Raw genomic sequence first — 19,288 nt, 5'->3', positions numbered from 1 at the left:
ATCATAACTTCAACACACAGCCTTTCTTCTTGGTTTCTTTAAAGACAGCAAAAAAAATATGATGCCAGACTCACATAAATCGAAGTAGATAATGTCATTCTCAAAGAGTTTATCCAGCACTCTCCCATATGTCAATTATTCAACAACTATTTACTAAGCATCTACTACACTCAGGTATTCTGTTGGATGCTAAGGAAATCATGGTGAATAATTTGTTCTATGTACAGCCATATCTTAAGAAGTACATTCTAAGTAGTGCCACTCTTACATTGAAGTGCTGGAGGAAAACAAGTGATTTCCTAAATTACAACAGTAATATAGGCTTAGTGTAAAAAAAAAAAAGAAACAAAACACCAAACTTACACATATCCATAATTTTATTACCATGCTAATATAACTTTTTCTTGTTATCTATAAACTTATAACAAATCCAAAAACATAGTGGTTAAAAACAATTTATTATTATCATTCACAGGGCCTCATGGGCTCAATGAGGCAGTTCTTAATTAGAGTGTCTCAAATGGTGGCAGTCAGAGGGCATCTTTTTTGCCCATGTGGTTAGCTTGGGCTTCCTCACAGCATGATGGTTTCAGAGTGCTCAGACTTTTAAGACAGCATCTGGCATCCTTCAAAGCAAGTGTTCTAAGAGTCGCAGGCAGAAGCTGCAAGGACTTCTTAGGAGCTAGCTTCAGAAGTCACACGGCATGACTTTAGTAGTATTCTGTTGACCAAAGCAGTCACAAATCAGGCCACATTCAAGGGAACAAAGGAATAAACTGCAACCCTGGCTTGTGTGGATATAGGGAGAAGAAATTTATGCTGGTCAGCCATCTTGGAGACAAGCTACCATAATTATTTATCTTTTGTTAGTATGACTTTTCAAAAATTTTTCTACATAACCAAAATATAACCATTAAAATCAGGAAATTAACATTGATACTAACTGCAGTCTAATCCTCAGAACCCATTCAAGTTTTGCCAGTGATTCCAACAAAGTAATCCAGTTCAAAACCACACATTGCATTTAATTGTCAAGTCTTTTTGGTGTTCTTTAGCTTGGAAAAGTTCCTTTGTCTTCCCTTAACTTAAATGACCTTGGCAACTTTGATGATAGCTGACCAGTTATTACATAGAATGTCCCTCAATCTGAGTTTCTTACAATGTCTCTGATGTTTCCTTAAGTTATGTATCTTGGGTAGAAATACCACAGAAGTGTTGTATTCTTCTCACTGATACTATTGGCTGAGGCATAATTTACATCTGTCTCACTGCTGTTGATATTCAGTTAGATCACTTGATTAGGGTGGTATCCACTAGGCTCCTCCTAGCAGAGAACTAGGAATAACTTCCAAATTGCTCTTTAACCCTTTGTAATTAATAAGTGTTTTGTGCAGAGTTATTTTGAAATAGATATCCTGTTCCTCATCAAACTTTCAATTTATTCATTTATTTCTATCTTTATGGACGTACACCTTCCTATTTTATTCAAAGGGATTACGGTAGTTTTCTATTGCTGCTGAGACAAATCACATTTTAGTGGCTTAAAACAACATAAATGCATTATCTAACAGTTCTTTATGTCAGGAGTCTGACACAGGACTCACTGGGCTAAAAATCAAGGTGTTGACAGGGTGGCATTGCTTCCTGGAGGCTCTAAGGGTGAATCCATTTTATTGCCTTTTCTGTCTTCTAGAGGCCACTCACATTCCTTGTCTCCTGGATCCCTTCCTCCATTTGGAAGCCAACAACACAGGTTGAGTCCTTCTCATGCTTCCATCTCTCTGGTTCTCTGTAGTCAGGAAGGATTTCTATTTTTAAGGACTCATGTGATTACACTGGGCCTGTCTAGATAATCTGTATTAGTCAGTGTTCTCTGGAGGAACAGGACTAAAAGGATAGATGTATATATAAAAGGGAGTTTATTAGGAGTATTGACTCACACAATGCCAAGTTGAAGTCCCACAATAGGCTGTCTGCAAGCTGAGTAGCAAGCAAGGAAGTCAGTTTGAGTCTCAAAACCTCAAAAGTAGGGAAGCCAACAGTGCAGCCTTCAGTCTGTGGCAGAAGGCCTGAGAGGCCCTGGCAAACCACTGGTGTAAGCCCAAGAGTCCAAAAGCTGAAGAACTTGGAGTCTAATGTTCGAGGGCAGGAAGCATCCAGCAAGGGAGAAACAGGAAGGCTGGAAGACCCAGCCAGTCTAGTCCTTCCAGGCTCTTCTGCCTGCTTTATCCTAGCCATGGGGGCATCTGCTTAGATCGTGCCCATCCATATTGAGGGTAGGTCTGCCTCTCCCAGTCCACTGACTTAAATGTTAACCTCCTTTGGCAACACCTTTACAGATACACCCAGGAACAATACTTTGCATCCTTCAATCCAATCAAGTTGACACTCAATTTTAGCTATTACATAATCCAAGATAATCTTTCTATTTTGGGGTCTCTAATCAAATCTGCAAATTCCCTTTTCCCATGCAAGATTCCATGTTCATAGATTCCACTGATGCAGGCATAGACAACTTTGTAGGCCATTATTCTGCCTACCACAAGGATTATAATCCCTTATATTAATTATTTTGATGGTCAAATTGTCTCCAACTGGCTATTTGAGTTATCTACAAGTTAGCTTCTGGGTCCTTTTGATATGACTCCATAGTCTTTGAGAGCTTCCTTGCTTTCTGGCACAAAAATATCTTTTAGATTCATCTTGTACTTTTTAGTCCAAACACTAGAATCAGTCATTTCTCCAAAGAACCTTGATTCCTTTTAGTGGAGAATGGTATTTAGAAGCCAAAGTCAACACTTTATTATAAAATTGGCTTTGTGTTAGATGATTTTGCTCAACTGTAGGCTAATGTAAGTTTTCTGAGCATGTTTAAGATAGGCTAGGCTAAGCTGTGATGTTTGGTAGGTTAGATGTAGTAAATGCATTTTCAACTTATGATAATTTCAATTTACAAGGGTTTATCAGGATATAATCCCATCACAAGTCAAACAGCATCTGTAATGTCTTTGTCAGCTAATTTTAACATCTGTGTCAGTTTCTGGATTGGTTGTGATTGACCCATTTATCTCCATACTCTGGAGCAGATCTTTTTGATTCTTTGCATGCATTGTAATTTTTTATTGGCTGATATACTTTAAACGTTATCTTGTTGGGGCCTGGATATTTTTGTATTCTGATAAATATTTTTGAGTTTTGTTCTAGAACTCAGTTAAATTATTAATACTTGGAAATAAGTTGATCCTTTCAGGTCTTGCTTTTAAGATTTGATAGGTTGCCAGGCGCAGTGGCTCACACCTATAATCCCAGCACTTTGGGAGGCCGAGGCGGGCAGATCTCCTGAGGTTGGGAGTTGGAGACCAGCCTGGCCAGCATGGGAAAACCCCATCTCTACTAAAAATACAAAAATTAGCCTGGCATGGTGGCAGGCACCTGTAATCCAAGCTATTCAGGAAGCTGAGGCAGGAGAATTGCTTGAACCCAGGAGGCAGAGTTTGCAGTGGGCCGAGATCATGTCATTGCACTCCAGCTGGGAAACAAGAGCAAAACTCTGTTTCAAAAAAAAAAAAAATTTGATAGGTTGAACCAGAGCAGTATTTAGGCTAGGGCTAATTGTTTCCTACTAACGAAGCAAAAATCCTTCTGTGTACTCTATTGAATGCCCTGTGGAACACACAATTTTCCAGTCTGGCATGTGGGAAAAGGCACATTTTCCAGTCATGTGTGAGTGTTGGGTGCTGTTACCTTTAAATTGCTTGTGGTTCTTTCTCTGTCATCCAGTAGTTTCTTATATGTATGCATTAATCATTACTTAGCTGCATACTCAACGGAAGCCACCTCCATAATTCTCTGTACCTCTCTCTCCTCTCTGGTACTCTGTCCTTCTTATTTGCAATTTCTGGTTCTCTTCATTTGTTCCTGTGGATTTTGATAACCATCTGGCTTGGTGTCATTGTCTTACTCTGACACAACTTTGCTCTCACCCACTTCTGTGCTGTTATTGGCAAATAAGTCATATTTCCATATGTTAGAGTGAAACAATACAATTATCTATATATCGTTTTATACAATTGTTTTTTAAATCAATTGAAAGAATGGAGAAAGAATATTCGTGTGTAGTATCTTTTATAATTGCATAATTACTTTTACTGGTGCTCTTAATGTACATGTGTGTGGATTCAAATAACTTTCTGGGGTCATTTGTTTTCAGCCTAAAGAACTGCCTTTAGTACTCCTTGTAAGATACATTTACTAGCAATAAATTCTCTTTCTTTTCTAATAGGGAAAAGTCGATTTTTCCTTCATTTTGAAAGCTTTGCTGAAGTTTCTTTGCTGAAGATTCTTAGTTGACAGTTTTCTTTTTCTTTCAGCACTTTACATCTGTCATCCCACTTCCTTTTGGCTCTATTGTTTCTGATGAAAAATCAGCTGTTAATCATATTGAGCTTCTTTTCTATGTGATGAGTCATCTTTCTCTTACTGCTTTTAAGATTTTCTCCCTATCATTGGCTTTCAGAATTTTTCCATGCTATATCTGTGTGTGGATCCCTTTGCATTTATTCTACTTGAAGTCTGTTGATTTTCTTGAATGTTTAATTTTTTTTGTTTTTAAAAATCAAATTTGGAAAGTTTTCAGCTATTCTTATTTTTGAACATTTTTTCTACTCCTTTTTCTCTCTCTTTTCCTTCTGATACTTCCATTACTCATATGTTAGCATGCTTTATGGTGTTCCATATTGAGGCTCAGTTCATTTTTCACTGCTTTTTCTCTGTTTTTCAGATGGTATACTCTCTACCAATCTATCTTCAAGTTTGCTAGTTTTTTTCTTCTGCCAATTCAAATCTATTGTTGAGCCTCTCTAAAATTTTTATTTTTAAATAAAAAGTTTTAATTTATTTTTCAACTCCAAAATTTTCAATTGGTTTTACTAATTTATATCTCTTTATTGATAGTCTCTATTTGATGTGACATTGTTATTTTACCTATTTAATTATAGTTTCCTTTAGTTCTTTGAACTTACTTATAGGGTGAGAGTAATTGTGATCCTAGTATTTTCAGCACGCTGTAACCTGTCTATGAGAAAGGGGGCTAGGAGAAACCAGGGAGCACCAGACCTCTCAGATGCACTCACTTGTAATTAAGTCCCTGCAACAGGTAGCCATGGGCAATGAAAAAATGCTAATGGCTTGCCCATTCAGAGAAGATACCAAAACCCTTGGCTGAGAGCATCCTCAAGATCCTACTGACTCTTTCTCTACAGTGTCTCCTTCTTAGCCTCCATCCCAGTCCTGACCCCACCTTCTATTTGAGCCATTACCACAGCCTTCTACCTACATGCTTCTAATTCCTTAACAATAATACAGTTAGTCCACTTACTTAAAATACTCAATCAGGGCTCCTCCAGAAGGTGTGCACACTCAATCTTCATTTATCACTCTTCGTGTTTCATCTCTATTGTTATGCATTTCAATCCCTCTGTGTCTAGCATCACGGAAGATGTAATTATTACCAAGGGCTTACTATTTATCAGGCCCCATGCTAAGTGCTTCCCATGCAACAGCTCATTTACTCCTCACGGCAACCCTACAAATTAGGTACTTTGACAGATTATAGAATGAAAGCTTAGGAAGGTAAAGTAATTAGAACATTTTCTTACAGCTAGAAAATGGTAAAGACTATATTAGAAAGAAAAAGAACACAGAGTTTCTGACCTAAAACTTGATATCTAATTGGAATGATAAGACCAACACGTGAAATAATTAGCAAATGTTGTAAGATGTTGTGCTTACCTGTTTTTTCCCCTTGTTATAATTTATTTCCTCGCTTTCCAAATTATAACTGCATCCAGAACAAAGATTTCGTTTCCCACTATTTGTATATTTCAAAACACGCAGTGCTCTGCTGGGCATAAAATGAGTAATCAGTATATTGGTGCCAGAGGAGAGTGAGTGTAGGACTGAGCACTTATGGAACAAGTAGAAGGTCTAGAATATTTAGGTTTCATTAAATGCCAGCCAGAAAGAGAATCTGAGACTCAGAGGGGAAATGATGCATTCAAGGTCACAGAGTTAGAGAAGGATTAGACAGAAACCAGTTCTCCAAACTCCCTGCCCAGTATACCTTCCCCTAGAGCCCACTTAGTTCAGCCCAGGGCATGTGGTATTCACACCATAGTTCTCTTATTTATGGAACTAAAAGGCCCTGCATCCCATATCTCAAAATATACAGCTTTTCTCCTTGTAGCTGACACCTACCTCCAGAGACTTAGCTCAAGACGAATCCAGAGCTCTCTGGTCCAGTGGAGATGCCTCTAGTCCCTGTCACTTTGCACTTTGGGTATTTCTCAATCAGAGTGTTCCTGGGTATTTCTCAACCAGTGTCCCGACAGGGACCACCCTTACTGATTTACTTGCCTGCCCTCCCATCAGATGAGAAACTTTCTAAAGTCAGAACCACGGCTCCTGTGACTTGGAGAAATCATTACCTAACACGGTGCCTGGCATGTGACCTCCTAAAAGATGCTTAGTGAATGAATGACTGCAATCCAGGCAACTCATATGTGATGTGGTCAGGATCAACTGTGGCTTCTTGGAGAAAGAGGCAAACTGACTTGAGATGAAGGCTGAGTGCAGCTCACCCATTCAAATCCTGGTTTACAGCTCTGTGATGTTTGGTTAAGTCATTTTTTAAAAAATTCCAGTTTCCTCATCCGTTAAAGTTCGAGTTGATAATACTTACCTAGGGTTTTTTGAGAGTTCACTTACAGAATTAAAGAACTGGTCACATAGGTACTCAATTAATGTTACATTTCATATAGCATCATGGTGACATCATGTGATATCCCAGCTTTGCCACTTTGTAACCTCAATGCAAGCTTGCCACTTGGGAACCAGGTGGAAACAGGTGAAATAACACAAGGTGTCCCTTCATTTCACATGTATTTGAGGGTCTCCAGCATGCTGCTTGCTTCTGGGAAGACAACAGTGAATGCAACAGACACAGCTTTGCTCTCTTGTGGAGAGTACAGTCTAGGAGGGGAAGTAGACAATCTAGAGACAAACACATGAGCAAGCCAGATAGTTTCTGAAAGTGGGTAAGTGCTTCAAAGAAAATAAAAGAGAGAAATAGGATAGAGAATGGCGGGGGTGGTCCAAGAAGGTCTCTTTGAAGGGATGACATTTTAGCTGAGACCCATAATATAAGAGCCAGCCGTATAGATGGGAGTATGCTGTGGTGAATGATTAGCCAGTACGAAGCTCCTGAAGCAGACAGACTTGGGGTGTTCAAAGCATGAGAAGAAAACCAGATTGGGTTGGAGCACAAAAGGTGAAGAATGGCAGAGATGAGGCTGCAGAAGAGCAGAGACCTGATCACGGAGGACCTGGAGACCTGGCTAAGGAGCAAGGAGTCCTGGGAAGCAAAATGGGAGGTCACAGAAAGGCTCTGAGCAGGGGGTGATACGCTCTAGTTTGCATATTGAAAAGATTATCTGGGTGGGTGTCAGGTTAGGAAAAGGCATGGTGGATAAGCCCCATCTTCTGAGCTGGGTTCTGCTACCCCAGGGTGCTTCCAACAGACATTTAAGTGGGAGTCAGGAGCTACAGACAAGGGGCTGCGTCTGTAAGAAGCTTCTAGGCTTTTACACTTCCCTATGCTGTTTCTGTAACCCCATATTCTGTAAAATCCTATGCCTTGTGGATTTGTCTTTGGAGAATGGAGCAATAAGGTGGAGCCAAAGATAAGGAATCCAAAGGTGTAGAGTGGGAAGAGGCAGCAGGCCCAAGAGCCAAGGCCCCAGGGAAGCAGCAAAAAAATTGGAAGGAAACCCCAAAAACAGCAGGTCTGGACTTGAGAAGCAGAAAGGCTTATGAAGCAGAAAGAGAGAGAGAAAGGGAGTTTTACACCTCATTATACCCATTTACTTACACAGGCAGCCCCTTTATCACAATGCATTTCATAGCTCAGCTCTTTCAACAACATCGAATTATATTGCCTAATTACTATCTCTATATCACCTACCAACATTTAACTCACTCTTTCCTCGTTTCGGCAGAAGAACCCTACATGGACAATGGATTTTTTTTGGCAATAGGGAACCAACTCGAGATATTTAAGATGTGATGATGAAAAGCAGGGTTGAGAAAGATTTTACCCCAGTAGGTTGTAGAAATTTCTGGATGCAGAGAGACCAGCTGGAGAGCAATCCGGTACAGCCATCCAGGCCCTATGAACTCATGACTTGGGCAGTTGTAAAAAGGAAACCAACCTGAATGCAAAGGGAAGGCAGGTCTGAGAGTCTGTTCTTAATTTTCCTTTTGGTCTTTCTACCTGGATCTCAGATACTGCTCTGTGAATTTAAAGGGACATTTTGTGTGCGTGTGTCCAAGTTCATGAATGCTGTGCTCAGCATGTGCTATTACTCTGTGAAAGTTATGAAGTAATTCTTAAGGAAAGAAATAGGCCATACACTAACTGGGTGAACAAAAATAGGTCATGGCATGAAGATAGAAGGGCTGCTGGCCAAGGCTGGGGAGCCAGAAGGCAGCCCTCTGCTAGGACACAGGGCAGTGCCCATCCTCACTGCTCGGTCCCTGCCATGAACCTGTGATAGGACAATTGTGCTGAACATGGCCACTGCTTCTTACCCCCTTGGGAAAGGAACATCCTTCTGTTGCTTAGCCACCTTAAAAGGTAGAATTCCATCTCAGTGTTCAAGTCTTGGCTTACTAGCTCTGTAATATTTGGTAAGTCACTTAATTTTTTTGAATCCCAGTTTTTTCACTTGTGAAAATAGGAGATGATAGTGCTTACCCAGGGTGTTTTGAGAGTTCAGTCACAGAATTAAGAGAATCAAGCACGTAGGTGCTCGATTAATGTTCTTTTCCATATAGCAGTGTGGTGACATCATGGGATACCCCAGCTCTGCCACTCTGTAACCACCCAGAAAGCTTGCCACTTGAGAGAGCTCTGTAACACCTGCATGCCTCAGTTTCCCTACCAACAATATGGGAACAATCACAGTCTAACCCATGTCATGGAGTTGTTAGGAGAAGTAAAGGAGTTCCACATGGGAAGTGCTGAGAGCAGGGCTGGCACACAGACACCCTGAAGGATTAGATTTTCTTCTTCTTCTTGTTCTCAGACTGCTGGACACACTTCACAACTGTGTTTCAAAGGATGAAATCACTTGACAATGTTCAGGTAGAAACAAGCCACGCAGTTCCCTTTGTGTTTGCACTTTTAGTACAGACGGGGTTTTGCCATGTTGGTCAGGCTGGTCTCGAACTCCTGACCTCAGGTGATCCACTCGCCTTGGCCTCCCAAAGTGCTGGGATTACAGACATGAGCCACCGCACCTGGCCTCCATGTCTTTTTCATTAGGTGCCCAAATAAGGCAAGCAGCCTCTATCTAAAATATGCAGATCTCATGACAGTTTCCCTAACCCTAATGACAGTTTCCAGAGAGAGGGTGGAAATTGGCAATAGCTCTTCGAAGCTTCCACTGGTCATGCTGCATATGTCACTTCTGCTTACATTTCATTGGCTGGAGCAAGTCATATGGTCAGGCATGACATCAGCAGGGCAACCTTGGGCAGTTAACAGTTAACAGTTGGCAGTTAACAGTCGGGAGGGTAAAACACAATCATGGTGCCATAAAAGAGTGAAGGAGCCGGCATTACACACAGACAGCCCGCAGAAGGGCAGCAACGTTTTGGAGCTCCTTTTAGTTCTCTTTATTGATATATTTTAATTGAACCCAGATTTTTTTTTTCCTGTCTAGCCCTTGGAGACAAGCTCTGCCAGAGCTCGTATAGCAGAGAGAAGGTCTTGAGATTAGTGATACTCAGCGTTTCTGACACTGGAGACCTGCATAAGAATTTAACAAACTGGGAAGCAGTTTTCATGACAACCCTTTTCATTGCATAGATGTTACCAAGAGTTTGGGGGTGTTTTTAAGAAAAGCCATTAGGCTGGAAGTCAGACACACCTGGATTTGAGATCCGCTCTGCTACTTCGTACTTGCGTGGTTTTGAGGAATCATTTGGCCTCTTTTCAGGTTTTAGATCCTTCACCTGTAAAATGAGGATGGTTGTGAGAAAGGGAAATTGCTCTGTAAACAGTGAAGCACTATTCAAATGCTCAGGCTTTGTAAAAAATTGATGGAAAATGTCATAAGAAGTGGGCAGTTCTGGTTTGCTTCCATTGCTATAGGAAGCTGGCACACACAAGAAAGTTTATTGACAGCAGCTGAGATGTGCTGAAGCTGGTAATTATCTTCAAGACAGGCTGAGTTTTGATTGTACGTAAGGGTGCCTGGTAGACCTATCAATCAGACATATGCCTTGATGTAATGCTGACAGTCTATTTACACAGAGGCAGCTGTGATATTATAAAAGAATGAAAGGCATGCTGAAGGTCTAAGTTGTTGTAGGATGGTAAAAATCTGGTGTGAACATGAGCGAAAGAGTTTCTGAATTTTCATTATGATCCAGCATTTTAGAGATGTATGAAAACTTAGCAATGATTGAATTCAACCCCTTCTCCGCATGGATAAGGACACTGACACCCATTAATGTCTGAGTGGTTATTAATGCAGAGAGAAAAAGTCACTGTTACCTGTCTTTTATGAATGTGCTAACTCATTAATCTATAAACAACACTTCTTCTAATATTTAGCATTTAACAATTCCAAATATTTATTCACTATTTACACATAATCAGCAAAAGCACAAAACTTCGCATTAAATCTCCCCAGACATTTAAGCATTCATTACAAATTTGTAATCAAGCTCTTAGATAAACAAATAATTAAAACTATGAATCTAATAAATCAGATTTGTTGGCATGCTCTAAACACCTTAAGAAGTGACAATACATGCACAGAATGTCACTTTGATTACCGAAATTATTATACTATGGGGAAATGGCTTGCTGAGACCCTGAAGAGCCAGAGAGAAGATACTGCTCACACATGTGAAGGATACACACTCTGTTTTCTCCTCCTTCTGTATGAGAGAGCCTGCTGATGTTTTGTGACTCAAAAAGTACGAGGAGGTCTATGAGCATATTTTCAATTAAGCGCATGAGTTGTCGGCATAAATTCTTTCTGAAATGATGATACAATTCCATAGCAAAACCAGGTTATAGTATAGTGGAAATGAGTACCTTAGCTCTGTTAGCCTCCTACTCCAAGGACTGTATTTCTGAAGGGAGCACACTTGTTTTGGGAATTCTGGGAGCCAAGGGCTGGCTGCACTGTGAATGTGTTTTGCTGCTCCAGCTTCTTATGGCCCCAGATTTCTGATCATATTCTGCATCCTTGGCTAATTCTCTCAGGAATTTTACAGTGAAAAGGAGAACAAGAGTGAGAACACAAGAATAAGATCAAGAAAGGTCTCTTCTCACCAGTGCTATAATCCACCTGAAAAGCTGTAGCCACTTGCACTACTAAAACCAGTCATAAAAGTGCTAATACAGTACACTATGAATTTAAATTTGTGTCTTTATTCTCTTCATTCTAATTGTTACTGTTTAATGTTATAGCTTCCCAAGGTTATTAGTGTTATACCTTTCCAGTATCACAGTAATTTTTATAGGATATAATTGCTATACTTTCCCAGACAGAGTCACTGAATTTACAAAAGCCCCCAAAGGAAAAAAAAAAAATAGGACTTCAGAACAGCTGAGTTTATAGGTTCAGGAGTTTTGACACAGAACTGGCCATTCCTGAGACTGTCCTTGCCTGTGTGGTTGAAGATGGACACGAGCACATCAGAATTCCAGCAGCAGGGTGGGAAGAGGAAGTGGAACGGAAGAAATGCCTTTTTCTTTGACAAGCGTGACCCAGAAGTTTCCTCTCTCTCTTCTGCTCATTTTTATCTGGGAACTTGGCCACACCCAGCAGCAAGGGAGGCTGGAAATAACGCTGCCCATGCCCAGACCAAAAATGGGGTGTCTTTTTAGTCTAAAAGGAGGGAGGAACTAGCACTGTGTGACATCTAACAGTGTCTGCCACTGTCCATGCTTTTGGCCACCAGATATTTGTGGGTCCTCCTCACAGACACATCTACCCTCTCTCTGAGGGAGACGAGGCCCAAATGCCTCGATTCCATGCAAAGATCAGGAGCACCTGCAGGAAAAGCACTTGGGACCAGGAGGAGCTCCTGGAGAAGCTGGATCACTCTGTTACCCCCAAGCTCTCCCTTACCCCATACTTAACAGTGGTTCTGTATAGGAAAATTGCAATAACATTTCCCATTCTGAAAAAAGATAAGAAAACACGTATAAGTTACTCAGGTCCATATCAATGCTCAAATCTTGCTGAGCAGGAGCTAAAAAGTCTTTTTTCTATGTTAGCAGGCGAATCTCTGGGTCAGTCCATCTGGCAACCCTGGTTGTACTTTCCAGGAGAGCCTCCCTTGGCTGACATGGTCCAGAAGATTCTCCCCTGTCCATCTGAAGCAGACATTTAGGCGATGGCCCTGGGAGGGGTGGGGAGGGGCTGCAGAGCTTTTACAGTTCCTTCCCTCAGGGGCATGGTTGGGGCCCCCGGCAGCCTCCTGGCTCCAGGGCTTTGACAAGTCAGACTTAGAGTTTCCTGGGCAGTAAAATTCCCTAAGAAACCCACGTAGGCTTTAAGAATATTTGCTTCCGGTCCAGTTCATGCACAAATAACTAAAGACAAAATCTGGTTTGGCATGCTTTTAGCCTAAAAACTTTATTTACTGATGTCCACGCTCTGCTTAGCCCCAGTGTCTCAATTTAAATGCAATTGTCCTGAGTCTATCCGAAGAAACAGGCTTGAGTGAGAGGCAACATCCTTGATTTGATCTTTGCTGCTGTCTGTTACTTGACAGAGAGCTCTGGATAGCGGTGCTTGAGGAAGGCTTGAGGACAAAGTCTGAGCTTTTGCTAATTCTTTGGAGCTTCCTTGAGGACTCAAATGGTGTCATGAGTTCTCTCTCTCTGTCTCTGCATCTCTTGGCTGTGCTGCCCTCTGGGTCTCAGGCAGGCTTCATCAGTATACCTAGGCCTATAGAAGTCATTACCACATCTGATTTTCCAGGAAGACACGCATAATCTCCTCTAGCATCCATATATAAAGGATTAGAAAAGTTCCCAATTGGCCCAGTTGACATCCGATACCCACCTGAATCAGTCATTAGGCCCAGGGGATGGAGTTCTTTGGCTAGCCTGGGACATCTGCCCATCACAGCATGGAGCGTCACGATAGGGGATCTGACTGGGACCACATAAAGTACATGAGAGGTGGCCCTCTTTTTCCTCCCACAAGAAATGGAGGGAGGTGCTGTCAGACAAAAGGGGAAGGTAGGCTTGGCAAGCAAAAATGAAAGGCATCCGAGACATCTGGCCACCAGCAGGGGCCACAGTGCTCGCGGGGTCTGGAAGGCTTAGTAAAGATGGGTGGAACTACGCAGTAGTAGTTAATAAGGTTTGCTAAAACCTGGGCCATCTCTCTGCAAGTGTCCTTATGTTAGTTCAGAGGCCCAGAGCAGGCCAGGGTAGAGGCCACATGGAGACAAAGCAGCATTTCTTCTGCAGAACTCGGCTAAGTGTAGTCTGAGCCTGGTGCACCCCTGCCTCTGGTCCTGCCCCTGCTAGATAAAGCTCAGAACGAAACGTCTTTCTCCTCCCACTCCTCTTTCTCTTTGCCTTCTCTCCAAAAGAACCTCCCACCGGCATCCTTAGCCTGATCTGGCCCCTCCACTGGCCTCTGAGTGTGGAGTGAGACAGAGCTGAAATGGAGAAGCCGGGCTTGGCTGGAAGCGAGGAGGGTGGAAGTGAAGTCCGTCACCGCTGGTGGGAGGTAGGTGAGGGCAGAGGCCAGTCACCTCCTACACCAGCCTCACTGGCCAAGTTGGTCAGCGCGGAATGGAGTCTCAGCCTGTCTTCTTTACCTTCACCACCTTTGTGAGTGTGTGGGCCCACAGAGCAACTAGGGAAATCTAACCTAACAGCAGGACTCTTCTACTCGTAGGTGTGTCCTGGCCTGCAGCCCCCTCCTCCTTGTCCACAGGCCTTCCATTCCCCCACCACGATCCTGCCTCAAAGTCCCAACTCGCTCTCCTTCACCCACGAATCCATCCCTAGAACTTTCTGAGCATGGGCGCTGTGCCCACAAGGCTGCTTGTCCCCACATGTTTGAGAAGCTGCCAGGATGACGAAGCATTCAGGCAACATTTGTTCCTTTGAAATTGTGCCCCTCCATCCCAGCGTCCTTCCTGTGCCCCCACCTTCCCTGAGTTCCTGGAGCAACGGCTTCCTGATGCTTCCGTCTCATTGTCCCACTCTGGCTGCAGGGTGATGGAGTAGCAAGTGGAGTGGCCCTGAGGGATGGTTTCCTGCCCCTGATGCTTCTCCCTTAGCAGCAGCTGCAGGCAGCACTTCCTGGAGCACAAGGGCCTCAAGCTCAGTCTTTCCTAGTGCAGACATTGCTGGAAATTTCCCTCTCAGCTACCTGATGCTGCCCACTCACTCATACCACCCTCGGGGGAAATGAAAGTGTGTCTGTAAATCAGGAGAAACTCAAGAGAGTTCTGAAAGCCTCTTGATGATCTAGAAGGGTTGATAAGCTAATGTCAGGTGGCCAGTGGGTTGGGAATTTGCCATTCCTTGTTGTTTCTGGAGTCAGAAGCCCTGTTTGAGCCATTGGTGGGGAGGCTGGGACCTGCTCCGTTATCCACCACTTCACTGTGGTTGATTTTATTTTCCAGTGTCGGCCACAACAGTATGTCCCCTCCTGCATAGCTTCCTGAACTGTGACCTTGCCACTCTTCCATCACGAGGTGGTGTCTGTTTCACCACCTCCTGAAGCTGGGCAGGCCCTGGAAGTGATGCTGTGCTACTCCCAGGCAGAGCCTTTCATGGGCCCGGTGGCTTTGCTTTCTGCCTCTTGGAAGCCGGCTACAATGAAGGAAGTTTGTCTATATCCTGAGACCACTATGCTGTGAGCAGCCCGTGAACCCACCGGAGAGGTCTTGCAGGAGGAAATGGCCCATGGAGAGAGAGAGAAGCCAAGGATCACAAGGCACCAGACCCAGAACTTTTAATATTACAGAATTTTAACAATTTCTCTGATTCTATACTGTATCTCTCCTATGCTTAAAGTCTAGAATCCCAATGGCATTCATTAACATAATCACTGATCTTACAATATATATACAATAAATTTATATACGATAAATAAGATCACTGATCTTACTATATATCTTACGATATATAAATACTGTAATTCTTACAACAGATAAATATATTTTACATTATTCAAATATTATTATTTGAAATATCAAATATTACTATCTGAAATATTATTATTATAAAAGACCACTGCTTTATGACTATACAGTCAAAATACTGAGTCTTAACGTGTTTTGAAATGATTCTTTTCCCTGCATGATTATATCATCAACTTAATGTCTAGTTAGGTTCATTTGTTTCCATGGTTTTCAGGTTTTAGAGACTGTTTCTTTTTAAAAATGTAAAACATGTACGTTGTTCCAAAGTCAAAATATGTCCCCAGGTAATTTGATTTGAGTTTAATTTTGTTTTTCAGCCATGTAAAACATATTGAATAGCTGACATTGTCCAAAAAAGTTGACATTCCATCTCTCCATCCTGTTCCCTCCAATCCTCTATAATAATCATTTCCTTTAGTTTTGGGATTTATCCTTCCATTGTTTCTTTTCAAAAATATAAGCCAATATGCATTTACATGTTTATATGTCTATTATATTACCCCCTTTCTTATGAAAAGGCTTGCACACTATAAACACTAGTGTGTATGCCTAAGAGCTAGGGTTTCTATCTATCTGTATTAATTGAAGTATCCGAACGGCTACTATATGCAAAGCTGGGTGGTAGGCACTAAGAGTCAAGTCTTCAATGGAGAAGAAACACTTATACACCAGGTCATTTCTATGACTCAATGTCAGATTTTCAAGGTTTCAAATCCTATGGCTGATTTCTCCCATGTGATTGGGGTCTACCCTAAATCTGACCTGTGATGAAGCTCTTGTTTCTGGGGATAAATGTGCCGAGAAGTCTTTCATGTATCCACAAATGAGGATGTTCTTGATTAAAGAAATGGCTGAGGTGAGGCAATTTGCTTGAGACCACAGAAAGTTCCTTTAGAGAATGTTCCTTGACTTGCCTGGGATGTGTTCCTAAAGATGCTTCAGGTAAAGATTAAGCAAGTGTAGAAATGGAGTGGAGTGACCTAGACCTAGACCCTGCCCTTGCACTTTGTATTAGCTACTGAATTCCATTAAATGAGTTGTTAAATTTTTTAGTCATTTTTAGGCATGTGACCTCTGTATTTCCTATGAAAATATCTATGGGTCAATTTTACATATAAATTTTTACATATAAATATAAATTTATTTTTACATATAAATGTGTTACTTTTTATTATAAAGATTTTCAAACATAAAAGTAAAGAATGCAAAGAACTATGTAATCATTGCCGTTTCAACAACCATCAACATGTTGCCATACTTGTTTCATCTATCCCAACTTTTGTTTCTCTGAAGTATTTTAAGGCAAATTCTATGTATTAGATCATTTCTATCTTAAATACTATCGGGGAACCTGCCCCGATAGCCACGTAGGTGCTTTTCTATTTTCCCTAAGCGTTGGCCGGTTTGAGAAATAAAGGGACAAAGTATAAAAGAGAAATTTTAAAGCTGGGCGTCCGGGGGAGACATCACATGTCAGTAAGTTCCGTGATGCCCCACAAGCTGCAAAACCAGCAAGTTTTTTTTTTTTTTCCCACTATTTCTTGAATTTTATTGAGATTTGTTTCAATACATGATTTGGGGGAGGATTCTTTAGAAGACCATTAAAACCAAGTTTATTAATTGTGTTGTTCAAATCTTCTAAGTTTTTAGTAACACTGTGTCTACTCGACACGTGTGTTGAAATTTCTCAAATACATGGTGGGTTTCACAATTTCTCCTTACAGTTTATGTTTTCTGTTTTATTAGGTGCATGCAAGTTTAGAATTGTTATGGCTGTCTGGAAAATGCAGCTGATTGGTAACTGATCCTCTTAAACGCTGGTCACGCTTTCTCTGTGCTGAAGACTCCTACTTCCTTTTGGTTTCCCCAGCATCCCGGCCATATCTCTGTATCTTTTCCCATCCTTTTATGTTAAACTTTTTTATGTCCTTATGTATTAGATGCGTCTCTTTTTGAAAGTATATAGCTAGTTTTTTTTTATGTTGTTGTTTTTGTTGTTGTTGTTGTTGTTGTTGTTTTGAGACATGGTCTCACTCTGTTGTCCAGGCTGGAGTGCAGTGGTGCAATATTGGCTTACTGCAACCTCCGCCTCCTGGGTTCAAGACATTCTCATGCCTCAGCCTCCCAAGTACCTGAAGACTACAGGTGCACACATACACATTTGATTAGTTTTTGTATTTTTTTTGGTAGTGATGGAGATTCACCATGTTGGCCAGGCTGGTCTCGAACTCCTGACCTCGAATGATCCGCCTACCTTGGCCTCCCAAAGTCCTGGGATTAGAGGCATGATCCCACCCTGCCCAGCCAATTTTTGTTTAAGAGTCAGGGCCTCACTCTGCTGCCCAAGCTAGAGTGCAGTGGTGCACTCATAGCTCACTATAACCTGGAACTTCTAGGCTCAAGTGATCCTCCTGCCTCCCACAATCCGATAACCAGCAAGTTTTTATTAGGGACTTTCAAAAGGGGAGGGAGTGTATGAATAGGGTGTGGGTCACAAAGATCACGTACTTCACAAGGTAATAGAATATCACAAGGCAAATGGAGGCAGGGCGAGATCACAGGACCACAGGACCGGGGCAAAATTAAAATTGCTAATGAAGTTTCGGGCACCATTGTCATTGATAACATCTTATCAGGAGACAGGGTTTTGAGAGCAACCAGTGTGACCAAAATTTATTAGGCAGGAATTTCCTCTTCCTAATAAGCCTGGGAGTGCTATGGGAGACTGGGGTTTATTTCATCCCTACAGTTTCGACCATAGAAGATGGCCACACCCAAGGGGGCCAGCTCAGAGACCCACCCTCAGGGGTGTATTCTCTTTCCCAGGGATGTTCCTTGCTGAGAAGAAGAATTCAGTGATATTTCTCCCATTTGCTTTTGAAAGAAGAGAAATATGGCTCTGTTCCGCCCAGCGCACCGGTGGTCAGAGTTTAAGGTTATCTCTCTTATTCCCTGAACACTGCTTTTATCCTGTTCTTTTTTCAAGGTGCCCAGATTTCATATTGTTCAAACACACATGCTCTACAATTTGTGCAGTTAACACAATTATCACAGGGTCCTGAGGCGATATACATCCTCCTCGGCTTACAAGATGACAGGATTAAGAGATTAAAGAGAGGCATAGGAAATCACAAGGGTATTGATTGGGGAAGTGTTAAGTGTCCATGAAATCTTCACAGTTTGTGTTTAGAGATTGCAGTAAAGACAGGCATAAGAAATTATAAAAGTATTAATTTGGGGAACTAATAAATGTCCATGAAATCTTCACAATCCACGTTCTTCTGCCATGGCTTCAGCCGGTCCCTCCGTTTGGGGTCCCTGACTTCCTGCAACAAAATACATCTTCTAAAAAAAGTAAGTGGTGAGGGGTAAGAAGGGGTATTTTCTTATATAACTGCAAGGTCAGTATCTCAACGATAAAAATAGCATTAAGTTTTTATTATCATCCAATATCCAGTCTAATTTTAGAATTTTCTATCTAAAAAAAAAAAAATCCAAAAGCCCCCAAAACCTGTTTTTGCCAATAGTTTAAATCAAGGTCTAAACAAAGCCACTCATTGTATATGGGGAACCTACCACAGGGCATGAACTGACAAAAAGTGAACCCAAAGTAGCTTTTTCACCAAAAGCTGAAAACAGACTGTCAAGGACAAGAAGCACCAGCTAACCCAAGGATGGTTTGATCTTCAGAGCTGGAGGGTTGTTGAAGGCACCTCAGACTTTTCTTCTCTAAGTTCACATTCTCAATTATTTCCATTGTTTCTCTTATGACACAATTTTTCTCTTCCTTCCCATTCTCCTCTTCTTAACATGCTCCAGTTGGTGAATGCCTCAGACATACTACAAGGAGTTGCTATCTTCAGTTATCAGAGCTTGGATCAGCACTGGTGTTTCTATTTTAGGATAAAGTGAGCTAATACCTTTATAGGCAGGTGGGTTGGTCTTGAGCTCAGTGTTAGTTTTAAATGCAGATCTGGGACATCAACTCAGAGCTTTGCCTAATTCTCATTTTCCAGATATAAGCAAGCCC

General features: G+C 41.7%; 2 long non-coding RNA genes across 2 annotated transcripts; one reads left to right on the top strand and one right to left on the bottom strand.

Annotated features, from left to right (window-relative positions):
* Positions 1–441: 441 nt before the first annotated feature.
* LINC00964 (long intergenic non-protein coding RNA 964) lies at positions 442–9,529 on the bottom strand. Its single transcript, NR_027321.1, has 4 exons — positions 8,813–9,529; positions 5,791–8,267; positions 5,378–5,482; positions 442–721 (listed from the first exon to the last, which is right to left on the bottom strand). It is a non-coding gene; the product is annotated as a long intergenic non-protein coding RNA 964 (long non-coding RNA).
* Positions 9,530–10,003: 474 nt separating this feature from the next.
* LOC105375742 (uncharacterized) lies at positions 10,004–15,206 on the top strand. Its single transcript, NR_188055.1, has 3 exons — positions 10,004–10,301; positions 13,690–13,829; positions 14,737–15,206. It is a non-coding gene; the product is annotated as an uncharacterized LOC105375742 (long non-coding RNA).
* Positions 15,207–19,288: the final 4,082 nt, after the last annotated feature.

The sequence above is a fragment of the Homo sapiens genome, chromosome 8, assembly GCF_000001405.40.
Source record: "Homo sapiens chromosome 8, GRCh38.p14 Primary Assembly".
NCBI lineage: Eukaryota > Metazoa > Chordata > Mammalia > Primates > Hominidae > Homo > Homo sapiens.
Note: the sequence above shows the minus strand (reverse complement) of the source record. Positions and strands in the feature narration are given on the sequence as shown.